The sequence below is a fragment of the Homo sapiens genome, chromosome 5 (assembly GCF_000001405.40).
Source record: "Homo sapiens chromosome 5, GRCh38.p14 Primary Assembly".
NCBI classification, from domain to species: domain Eukaryota; kingdom Metazoa; phylum Chordata; class Mammalia; order Primates; family Hominidae; genus Homo; species Homo sapiens.
The window spans coordinates 174,739,880-174,752,640 of NC_000005.10; the positions used below are offsets into that span (position 1 = coordinate 174,739,880).

General features: G+C 45.5%; 1 non-coding gene across 1 annotated transcript; it reads left to right on the forward strand.

The window, feature by feature from the left end:
• Positions 1-11,854: 11,854 nt before the first annotated feature.
• Positions 11,855-11,908, forward strand: MIR4634 (microRNA 4634). The gene has a single exon (NR_039777.1). It is a non-coding gene; the product is annotated as a microRNA 4634 (primary transcript).
• Positions 11,909-12,761: the final 853 nt, after the last annotated feature.

Sequence of the window (12,761 nt, forward strand, 5' to 3'; positions counted from 1 at the left end):
TAGATTGCTCTGGCTATACTCCTCCTTTTATTTTGGTGCTTACACCAAAGAGCACCAAATGATATATCTGAGTTACTGAGTTCAAGTTCAAGCTAGCCACTGATGGCTCTCTACACCTCACTTTAGCATCTGTAAACCAGGGCAGGGATTAGCAGCCAGGAAAGAGATAGGAAGCCCATTAGGTCAATGTATTTTTCTGTTTCATTCTGAACTGTATCCCTAGTGCTCAGAGCACTGCATGGCCCATAGTAGGTGCTCAGTGAGCACAGGGCCCATTCAATGAATGAAGGTGAATGTTTTACCAAGTCATATAACAGTTCTGGGAAAACTAGAGGGCTCTGGGTTTGGCTGACTTTTTAAAGCTTTGGAAAATGTACAGGTTTGCCATGAGTTAAAACCTTTAAAAAGTTGGTTTGGTTCACAAAACAATAAAAATCATTTGCCTTTGGCAAGATGGGCCAGGTAGTGTTATGAAGGCAGTTATAAAAATATTCTTGATTTGGTTCAAGTCTCTGATGACTAGTCACAGATGAACATTAAAGAAACTTTCACAGCCTCTACTGGTGGGTTAGCCAGACTGTATAGAGCCAGTTCAACTTGTCCTTATATTTCACGAGTGAAAAATGTTTAAAACACGGCATTAAATGAAACCCTTCTGAGTTATAAAATTGTGTAGAGTTAAAACTCTTCTTTAGAGTTTGTTTTACAGTATGGTCCAGTAGTTAATTAATGCACTCTCCCAGAGGGATGCAAGGGGAGAGAGTTCTGACTCTGATTTACAGCTAGTTTGGAAAGAGAGGGGAATCCTCAGAAAACCTTCTTTTATTGTCTTTAAGGCCTCAGTGTTCTTTTCTGTAACATGGGACTCCTGGTTCTTCTTATAGCCCTCAGATGTATGTTCAAAGGCATAATTAAGGCATAGTTAACATTTCTGCCCCCTCGAGGCCAGTAATGGAGGTTTTTGTTGTTGTTGTCGCTGCTGTTGTTTTGAGTCGGAGTCTTGCACTGTTGCCCGGGCTGGAGTGCAATGGCGCGATCTCAGCTCACTGCAACCTCCACCTCCCAGGTTGAAGCGATTCTCCTGCCTCAGCCTCCTGAGTAGCTGGGATTACAGGCACCCACCACCACGCCCAGATAATTTTTTGTATTTTTAGTAGAGACAGGGTTTCACTATGTTGGCCAGGCTGGTCTCGAACTCCCGACCTCGTGATCCTGACCTCGTGATCTGCCTGCCTCGGCCTCCCAAAGTGCTGGCATTACAGGCATGAACCACCACACCCAGCCCAGTGATAGGGTTTTAAAGCAAAAGAGCACTTGTAGGGATTAGATAGGAAATTTAAAAGTAGTAATTTCAGAATAAAAAGTGTCATCCATACTAGCCTGAACTGTGTTCAACTCTTAGTATCTCTAGGGGTTGAGGGAAACACACCTTTTTTAAGGACTTAATATGTAGGTCACAGGACCCAGAGCTGGGGGTACAGTAAACCTTTGTGAAATTTATCTTGATTTTTGAGGTAATTGAAAAGAAATTTGATCATTTCACACATTACTAATTCATACATTGTAAAAATCTCCCCCAAACTCTGACAGTCTCTCGGCACTTATCAGAACACAGATTTCTAAACCCAGGGCCAGAATGAGGTCTCACGTTACTAGGACTTCATCACTTTTCAAAAATATACAGCAGGCCATTTGCTGGTAGGTTATGAAATATGATCATAAATTAAAACTAAATGACTCACATAAAATAAAAGGACAAAGAGCACTTTGTGATGCCGAGAGCTCCGGTTTGATTGTGTTAGTTCATTTATTTGGGTATTTAGAGCATTTCAGAACGCCAAGTAACTCCATCTACTCTCAGTTGATGGTAGGCACGTGGTACCATTACTGCAAAGCTTTGCCTATAGCCCACTGCAGAACCAATGAGTAAGACCAGACATTTGGACACCTCTTTATAGTTTACAATGTTCTGTCACCTACGTTTTTTCTGCGAGGCAGGTAGCATGAAGTAGAGGAGGAAGCAGGCTCACACATTTAGGGATGGGTCACAGGTACTCAGAAGAGGCGGGACTTCACAGGAAACAGAAAATTTAAGCTAAATGACACGTGACATTTTTATTTTTTATTTTTATTTTTTAATTTCAATTTTAATTTTTTTTTGAGACGGAGTCTTGCTCTGTTGCCCAGGCTGGAGTGCAGTGGCGTGATCTCGGCTCACTGCAAGCTCCGCCTCCTGGGTTCACGCCATTCTCCTGCCTCAGCCTCCCGAGTAGCTGGGATTACAGGTGCCCACCACTTCGACCAGCTAATTTTCTGTATTTTTAGTAGAGACGGTTTCACCGTGTTAGCGATGATGGTCTCGATCTCCTGACCTCGTGATCCGCCCGCCTCAGCCTCCCAAAGTGCTAGGATTACAGGTGTGAGCCACCGCGCCTGGCTTTTTTTTTTTTTTTTTAATGAGTTAGGGGCTAAGAATGTCAGTATATGCGAGAGATTGGTGGAGGAGAGATAATGTGGTAATATTTATGCAGCCTTTTTTTTTTTTTTTTTTTTTTTGAGACGGAGTCTTGCTCTGTCGCCCAGGCTGGAGTGCAGTGATGCGATCTTGGCTCACTGCAACCTCCACCTCCTGGGTTCAAGCCATTCTCCTGCCTCAGCCTCCCGAGTAGCTAGGAGTACAGGCTCCCGCCACCACACCCGGCTAATTTTTTGTATTTTTAGTAGAGACGGGGTTTCACTGTGTTAGCCAGGATGGTCTCGATCTCCTGACCTCGTGATCCGCCCACTTTGGCCTCCCAATATGCAGCCTTTTGAAGTTAGTCCTGGCAGGTATGTGGTGGGAGGTGTTTGCTGCAATTGCAACTTTTCTGGTATCATTGGCTTTATATGTGCCCAGTTAATTCATAACCAGCGCCCCCCCCCGGCCCGCCCCAACCCCTCCAGGAGAGCAGGCAGATCAGAAAAGGCAGGAATACCCTCCAACACACTTGGGGCTGCCAGTTGCTCTTTTGCAATTTTTTTTCAGTTCCACTATATTAAAATTGAGGGGAATGGTAGAGGGAAGAGAGTTAGAAAACCAAATGCCACATGTTCTACTTATAAGTGAGAGCTAAGCATTGGGTGCAGCTGGACACAAAGATGGGAACAATGAAGACTGGGGGCTCCAAAAGTGAGAGGAAGGGAGAGGGAAAAGGTTGAAAAACTGTCTATTGAGTGCAATGTTCACTGCTTGGGCTACGGGATCATTAGAAACCCAAACCTTAGCACCATGCAATATACTCACATAACAAACCTGCACACGTGCCCCCGAATCTAAAATTAAAGACAAAGAAAAGAAGGTTATTTATTGTTAGTCTTTCTCATATATCTCAGTTCTTTTCCCCTTGAGCACTCCCTCCCTTCCTTCCTTCCTCCCTTCCTTCCTCCCTTCCTTCCTCCCTCCCTTCCTCCCTCCCTCCCTCCCTTCCTCCCTCCCTTCCTCCCTCCCTCCCTCCCTCCTTCCCTTCCTCCCTCCCTCCCTTCCTTCCCCTTCCTTCCTTCCTTCCTTCCTTCCTTCCTTCCTTTCTCCATCCCTCCCTCCCTCCCACCTCCCTCCCATTTGCAGTGTTCTGCAACCATCAACATGCTCCATCTCTAGAACTGTTTCATCATCCCAAAGTGCACCTGTTAAACCCTAACTCCCCATCCCCCTCACTGCTGACCCGGGCAACCATCCTTCTACCTTCTGTCTGTATAAATTTTACGACTCTGGGTGCCTCATATAAGTGGAATCATACAGTGTTCATGCTTTCATGTCTGACTTATTTCACAGAGCATAATATCAGGTTTATATATCAGCATAATATTTTCAGGTTCATCCATACCGTAGCATGTATCAGAACTTTCTTTCTTTTGGTGGCTGCATAATATTTCATTGTACATATATACCACATTTCATTTATCCAGTCTTCATCCATTGATGGACACTTGGGTTGTTTGTACCTTTTGGTTTTTGTGAAGAGTGTTGCTGTGAACATTGGTGTGCAAATGTCTTAGTTCCTGATTTCCAGTTAAAAAAAAAAAAAGGAGGTCAGGTGCAGCAGCTAATGCTTGTAATCCCAACATCTTGGGAGGCTGAGGCAAGAGGATCATTTGAGCCCAGAATTTCAAGACAAGCCTGGGCAACATAGTGAGATTTCGTCTGTAAAAATAAATAAATAAATAGAATTAAAAATTAGCTGGGTGTGGAGGCACATGTTTGTAGTTCTAGCTACCTAGGAGGCTGAGGCAGGAGGGTCACTTGATTCCAGGAGGTCAAGGCTACAGTGAGCAGTGATTGTGCCACTGCACTGCAGCATGGGCAACAGACAAAGACCCTGTCTCAAAAAAAAGTTTATGTTTATTTGATGATGTATGTCTATCTTCTCCTATAAACTATGCAAACTGCTTGGAGTTTTATACTAAAAAATCTTCCAGTTTGTTGGGGAAAGAGCCAGGGCATTACACGTTACCTCCCAGAGGAGTACAGTCACGAAAGGAAGCGTCAGAGCTGTGGGAGTTGGGAGAAAGGAGAACCTAAGTTTTCAGGGTTGGTGGGGGTGGTGAACTTCCAACTATTTATTGAAGGACAAACATCCCTTTCCAGGTGGAGGTGGGGAAGGAGAACAGAGACAAATGGAATAGAATATTATCGAACTGTGTAGGTGATTGGATTGGCTTATTAGGAACATCAGGAAAGATGAACTAGGGTGGTATTGCCCAGTGTTCAAGGGTATTGGCTCTAGGTCAGTGCTCTTGGGTTGAAGTCCTTGCTGTACCTACCTTGTCTTTGGGCAAACTGCTTGACCTCTCTGGAACTTGATTTCTCCATATGCATCAGGTGGATCCTAACAGCACTTAGACAGTTGCTGTGAAAATACAATGAGATAAATTGTATCAGGTACGACTCATGATGCCTGGCCTGAAGAAAGTCCTTTTACATGGGGAATTTGCTGCCTTGTGTGAAAGATTCTGGTCCCGATCCTTGGGCGTTGAGTAGCCTTTAAAAGTTTTCAAGCAGGAGTGATGGGCTGATGGGGTCTTACTGCAGGCAGGGACTGGGGCTCCAACAGAAGGTTAAACTAGCTGTTTTCTCTAGTGGCTTTTGGGATAACACAGGAGAAAAGGCTAAACTACTGAATTTCGAGGCAAGTAGGTATGACTGAGCAAGACTTCCAAATCTGACTCATTTTTCCCAAGAACAGCCGGGCAGAGTGTTGGGTTTAATAATTCATCCAGCACTGGTCATCCTTCATTAATCTCCTTTCCTGTCCTCCAGTGCCCACCACAGTATTAGGCACATAGAAATCCTGTCTTAATCTATTTGTGCTGCTATAACAAAATATCAAATACTGGGTAATTTATAAACAATGGAAATTGATTTCTCCTAGTCCTGGAGGCTGAGAAGTCCAAGATCAAGGGGCCGGCCAGGTTCAGTGTCTGGTGAGGGCTGTTATCTGGTTCCAAGATGGTGCCTTGACGCTGCAGCCTCTGGAGGGGAGGAACACTGTGTCCTCACGTGGCAGAAGGACAGAAGAGCAAAAAGGGGCTGAACTCACTCCCTTGGCCCTTGTATAAGGGCACTGATCCCATCTATGAGGATAGAGCCCTCATAGTCTAATCACCTCCAGAAGGTGTTGCATTGGGGATTAAGCGAACCTGAGTTTTGGAGAAGACACAAACATTCAAGCCACAGCAGGCCCCACATAAACACTGCATGGACCAGAATAATTCTACAGTCATACCTTTCTTCGTCACATCCTCCCTCCCTCCCCTGCTCTCTTCTCTTTGCTTCTAACAAGGTGTCTGATGACAGCCTGAAGGATTACGGGCTGGAAGTGAACATGTGCCAGTTGAAAACCTAGAAACAGAAAGCATGCACCAGGAATCTCAAAGCCCCGAGCTTTTACGACCTCTGAAAGACCAGCAGCACTCCCTTACCAAAGACTTCCACTCTGTGCCTCGGCTTTAAGAATCAGTCTCATGAAAGCCGTTTCCAACAAGCATTTAAAATCATCCATCCAAAAGATAACTAAATCATGGCCATTCATTGCTCTCAGCCCATCACACTGCAATGAAAACATGTATTTAACTGAGAAAACACTGCGCCTCCCCTCTCCCTGGCCTCTGTCCCCTTTCTTCTCCCTTTCTTTGAGGGCTCAAAATGTTATGATTCATCTCAGCGCTGCTCAGTGCTGCAGTGAATTACAGGCCCCAAAGATTTCCAAACCCGGAGGGGTGCAGGGAGGGAACGGCCCCCAGTGCATCCCCGGCATTCTCTCTCCAGCCAACTGTGTTTGTGCCTTGACTCCTTTTGATCATTGCTTATAACAGTAGCCAAGCAGAGGAAATTAAGCTTTTGTATTTAAACTAATCCATGACCCTGGATAATTTGTAAGAGACATCTATGAGGGGTTAAAAATGAGCCTCCAACTGCTTGATGTGGAGACATCCAGACGCACCAGTGGCTCTCTTGGTGGGATCACAGAATTTCAGTGCTGAATGAAAGGATGTCAGAGCATGCGGTGTCCTTTGGGGACATCTGTCTAGTCCAACTTTCTTGGTTTTAATGGAGAAACTGAGGCCCAGATAGGGGAAGGGACCTGTCTAGAACAATGTAGGGAGTGTGTGGCTGGGTAGGGATTTACTGCCGGATTTCTGACTCCCTGTACTAGGAGAATGAGAGAGTTGAGAGCAGTGTTGTTCTGAAGTACCCACTAACCGATGGCTCCTGTCAGATGGACATTGCATGTGCCTGTCCTCTGAGGTGACACTTCAGACCAGCATGCCGTGCTGTCTTCAAGAGAAGCACCAGCCCCTGGTTGAATGCTACAGTACAGTTTTATTTTTCAAAGGTTTTTATATAGGGGGGTAAGGATCTAACGAAGAGACTAAGGGTTTGAGCTGTAGGGTCAGAGCATGTGTATTTTTTTTTTTTTTTTTTTTTGAGACTGTCTCTTGCTCTATACCCATGCTGGAGTGCAGTGGTAGCTTACTGCAGCCTCGACCATTCAGGCTCAAGCGTTCCCCCCACCTCACCCTCCCAAGTAGCTGGGACCATAGGTGCACACCACTACACTCAGCTATTAATAATTTTTGTATTTATTGTAGAGACAGGGTCTCCCTATGTTGCCCAGGCTGGTCTTGAAGTTCTGGGCTCAAGCAATCCTCCTGTCTCAGCCTCCCAAAGTGTTGGGATTACAGGTGTGAGCCACTGGGCCCAGCCAGAGCATGTGTATCCTCTGTGTCTCAGTCTCCTGGGGTAATAGCAGAACCCATCTCATGGGGTTGCTTGTAAGCATGAAAGAAGTTAATTGTGGTAAAACGCCAACCTCAAGAAATGTGAACTGTCACTATCATTTCCATTTGTCACAGAGGACAGCCAGTAAACAGCAAGTACGTGCTTATAAATGCCAGGACCTTTAAGCCCAGTCTTAGCTTCCCGCACCAGCTTACAATGCCCCGAGTAAAAGACTCTAAATGGGGAGCATCAGAGACACTGGCTTTGAGTCCCAGTCCCACTATGAACCAGCTATCTGACCCCGGGCAAGAGTATCAGCTCTCTCTGCCTCAGTGTTCTCATCTGTAAAATGGAAACATTAGCCCTGGCCTTCCACTTGAGAAGCACTGATTCATTCATTCAGTATCTACAGATCACTTACTCAGCGCCAGGTACACGGAACAACAAAACACAGATGCTACTACTGTGGAGCTCACATTCTAGCAGAGGAAACAGTGCAAGGAAATTCATAAACACAAATGAACACGTTCTTTATTTATGTGAAATCAGCCATAAGTTACATGGAATGTATGAGCCTCCCCTTTTATAAGCGTTTGTTGACTCCCAAATGTCTCTTCTAATGAACAGAAACTGATACTTAAAAAGTTTGTTTTCCTTCATTTTTTATTATGGAAAATTTCGAACATATACAAAGGAGAGAGAATTATATTAAAAACTCCTACTTACCATCACCCCATTTTGCCAGTGATCAATTTATGTCTAACCTTGTTACATCTAAACCACTCTCACCCACTTCTCTCTTCCAGGATTATTTTGAAGCAAATCTCAGAAGTTATATGATTTAATTCATAAACATTTTAGCATTTATCTCTAAAAAATAAAAAAACATTGTAAAAAAAGTAAGCATACTATCATTATCCCATCAAAAAATTAGCAAAAATTCCTTAATATCATTAAACATGCAGGCAGTATTTAAATTTCCTTGTTCGTCTTATAATTTAAAAAATTACATATTATTGAAATTAGCATGGAAAGAAAGTCCATTAGGAACTGTTGATGTCTCAAAGTTTCTTTTAATGTGTTGGGTTTCCTTCTCCCTCTCCTTTTTTTCTTGCAATATACGTGTTGATAAAACTAGAACTTTTGCCTGTATGTGTTCCTGGAATCTGAATCCCTGAGAAATAATTTAGCATTTTCCTCTGTCACCTGTAATCCTCCTAAATTGTCAGATCTAGAAGCTTGATCAGATGAAGGTTTTGGAAACGTGATTTTATGGATGGCATTATGTTCTTCCATCACAGGGCACTTAATAGCTGGTTTTCTCTCTTTTGGTTGTTTAAAGTTGTTGATGATCGATTCGATTCCTAGATCCATTTCTTCATTAGGGGTTGTGAAATAGCAACATCCTAATTCTATCATTCTCCACTCCTTTATTAGCCCTGATAGGTCTATAAAGAAAAACTTCTCTCCATCAACAATTTGGTTGCCCTGAGGGATAGTCGGTGTGTGAAAGAGAGGAGGAATGTTGATCCTTTCTGTTCAGTTATCATTTCTCAAAAGAATGAGTTGGTTCTACAGCCTTCTCCAAAGGACAATGGGTTCATGGCTTTAAACATATTTTATGTGTTTCGATCCATTCCAGTCATTTTCTTGTTGATGAGTAAATGCCCCCCTCGTTGTCCAACACAAGCTTTTCCAAGTTGGCTCCCGTGTTTTTAATATAACGTCAATAATCTTCGAAAGCCCCTTTGCTTTCTGGTAAAAGGTGATCTAGGCCTACCTTGTATATTTCCTGCCCCAGACAAGGGATCAACCATTTCTCCAAATGAGTGCTGGTCCCTTTAAGTGGGAAATGGAGTTCGAGGCTGCCATCGGGGCACTAGAGGTGCTCCTTGCTTGGTCCTGGGCTTCCTGTAGACAGGAATGGGGTAGATATAGTCCCTGTCTTCCTGGCTCTCTAATCAGACATGGAAGACAGGAGTGGAGCACATAGTGGGAGAGGTGTTAGGTGCTAGGGAGGGCAAGTTTAGAGTGCCATGCCAGTGTTAGCAGATGGTCTAGTCAGGACAAGTGCTCAGAGGAGACTTCTGGAGAAAAAGAGGGGGGAGAATTGGGACAAGAGGGGAGCTACTTCCTGCTCAGCCAGTAACTAGATTTCCAGCCTCAGGGGGAGGATTAAATGAGGTGGGATGTGAAACTGATCTGTAAAATGTACCATTCTAGACAATAATCCTCTAGTGGTGGAATTTAAAACACCCAATCTGCGGGAAAGAATTTACTACCAGTGGGCCAACATTGGCACCGTTCAAATCAAAGTGGGGAGACTGTGTTCATGTCACAATCGCTAATGAGACAAACATTTTCCACTTTAGTCTCCACGACAACTCCATGGGGCAAAGACTAATATTATGCCCATTTAATAGATGAGGAGTCTGAGGCTCCCATGAGGTTAAGGAAGTTGCTCGAGGTCACCCAACTAGTAAGTAGTGGAGATGAGATTTGAACCCAGGACTATTCTTATGTTGGAGATCAGTCTCTTAACCATTCTGCTGTGCTCCACGACCTTGGAGGCCCCTTTTAAAGGGGTTCAAAGTTCCTTGCTTCTCAAGCTGCTGGGAGTCTTAATCTTAACCTTCACCTCTTATCTTACTGTTGGCCACATTGCTCCCCTGTTCTCAGCTCCCAGTAAGACTTGAAATTGCATCCTGGCCCTTAGAATCTGCAACAGAGCAAGCTTCTTCACCTGTTTGTTTCTCTCTGAGCCTCAGTTTCCTTATCTGTGACGTAGGGATAATAATATTCATTGGTACAGTTATTGGGATGATGGAAAGACGTGATCTATGTAAAGCATTTAACACACTGAGTGTTCAATAAATTGCAGTTACTGTTAGAAATAATGAACCAATCAATAGCTCACATGTATTCCATCATTTGATGGCCACAACCGGAGTGGTAGGAATATCATTATCCCTAGTTTACAGAGGAGAAAACCGAAATACAGTAGGTGGGATTCCTGTGTCCAAGGCCACATATAAGTTAGTGGTAGCAGCAGCACTTGAACCCAGACAGAGCCTTTGGGCTTGAACACCACACTTTGCTGCCTTAATAAGAATCTTGTCCAGCAGCTGCCCGCCATGTCAGCCTTGGGGGCTTGTCACTAGCTCCCACCTTGCTCAAAGAAAGTGGAGCTCTGCCCAGAGATGGAAGTACCTGCTTCCAGAGGCTCGTTGCAGGGTGATAAGGTGACCCACCACTGATTCCCACTCTGAAACCCTCAACAGCCCAGAGTGGATGTCTTGCTCAACCTGACGCTGAACCAGGGGCACTGAGTTCAGTAATTACCAGTTTAGTAAATTGCCTTCCTTCTTATGGAGCACAAAATAAGAACATTGGCATCCCTTTAGTGCGGATCCTGAGAGAAGGATGGTTTTTAAAAATTAACTTTGTATGCAAAACTTTGTGTTAAGCCACACATTGTAACACCACCAGGAGAGACAGAAGGAAGAGCACAAGGGCCATGTTGGCGTTTCATCAGCAAGCTGCCAAGTTGCCCCCCACACCCCCACTTTTCTCTCTCTTTTTTTTTTTTTCCAGAGCTCTATTTCTTCAATCAGACTTTATTAAGAACATAGGTTTGAGTCTACAGGAACAAATTCTTCTGGCTCTTTAAGGAACATATTTGAAGGGGAGGGAGTTATTAGGCTGCATTACTGCATAAATGATACAACATGCTTACCAGCATGAATCATCCGACCTAGAGTGACAAAAAAAAAAAAAAAAAAAAAAAAGAGCTTGAAAACTAAGCACAGCCAAAATATTGGCAGGCCCCAGCTACACGGGCCAGATTTCATCTCTTTTAAATCAAAAACATAAAAATAAAAATAAATTAAATTTCAGTCTCATGGTAACAATTCCCATGGAGGAAGGCTGAAGTATTTTGTCTGCACCCCTCCTGCCCCCTTCCGAATCACAGACTCCCCGCAGTCAGAGATGGCGAAGCCTCCACCGGGTCACCTCGGCCGGCCCCCGGGCTCCCCCGACCCCGCCCTGGCAGCGCCCCCCGCCGCGAGCTCCCGGGGCGGAGGAGCCGGCTCGGCTTTGATTAGCAACACTTGCGGGGGCCGCGGCGCACCCTGACAGCCCGGCAGCTCCGCGCCAAAATGGATGGGTCTCGGGCGGCGAGGGCACGGATACAAATGCGCCGCCGCGTTCTCAGGTACACAAATGCGGCCTCGGGCGGGCGCTGGTTCCCAGGCGCACGGAGGCGGCGGCCCCTTCAACTCGGGGCGCGGGCGGGAGCGGAACCCGCGTTAATTACTGTACGTTTCCACTGTAAAGAGTGTCAGCCGGGGAGCGGGGCCGCCGCGCCTGCCCGGCCCCGGCGCACAAAAGCTTCATATATTCTGAATGAAGGCGAATCGCAGCCTCGGCCTCCTTGAAAAGAGCCGTGAGGGAGACTTAATTCTCTCCCTTTCAGCTGTGCTCAGACTGTGAAATCCACACAATCGCGCCCTTCTCTTTAAAGGGAGGGAGAAGAGGGGCCGCGGCCGCGCGCCCCGCCATCAGCTGCGCGCACAGAGGGAGAGTTCACTCCGGGGACAAGGGCGGCGCGACCGGCCCGGGGCTCTTGGGCGGCCGCGTTTCCCCTCCCACCGGCTGCAGCCCCCTTCTCCCGCGGCACTTTCCGGCGTCTTTTGTGGGGCGAGTCCTGGCGAGGGTGTCCGCCGTCAGGTGCACAGGCCCCGTGCTCCCCTCTGTTCGGCAGGAGATCGGGGACTTCCACAGGCGGGCTGGGTCTGTTCCCAGGACCAGAGGTTCTGGGTGGAGCTGTCCTGGGCTCCCGGCCTCCCCAGGGGCCTGGCTACACCCAGTTCGTGAAGCTCCTTCAGTAATGAAAAAATAATGAAAAGAAAAATGCCAGGAACAAGTACAAATAGATTACACTAAGTGCAAAGTATTGGTGTTGAAAGCTTGATGCTTTTTAACAAACATGTAAGCTCAATGCATGTGACACAAGATTATTACAAGATTTAGGAAAAATAGGTATACAGTCATGTGTCGCTTAATGACTGGGATACATCCTGAGAAATGTGTCCTTCGGCAGTTTTGTTGGCGAGCATCATAGTGTGTACTTACACAAACCTAGCCGGTATAGCCTACTACACACCTTAGACTCTAAGCTGTAGCCTAATGCTTCTAGGCTACAAACCTGTACCGCAGGTTACATTCCTGAATACTGTAGGCAACTGTAACACAATGGTATTTGTGTATCTAAACATAGAAAAGGTATAGTAAAAATACAGGGTAAAAGGTAAAAAACAAACAAACAAACAAAAAAACCCTGTATAGGGCAGGTCCATTATTATCCTATGGGACCACTGTCATATATGCGGCCTGAAACAGCCTTATGCAGCCATGATTGTATATTAATTTCCTTGTGGGTCCTAGGTGCCTGCTCAGCAAAGGGGACCCAGGTTTGAGCCCTGTGACGAATCACATCCTT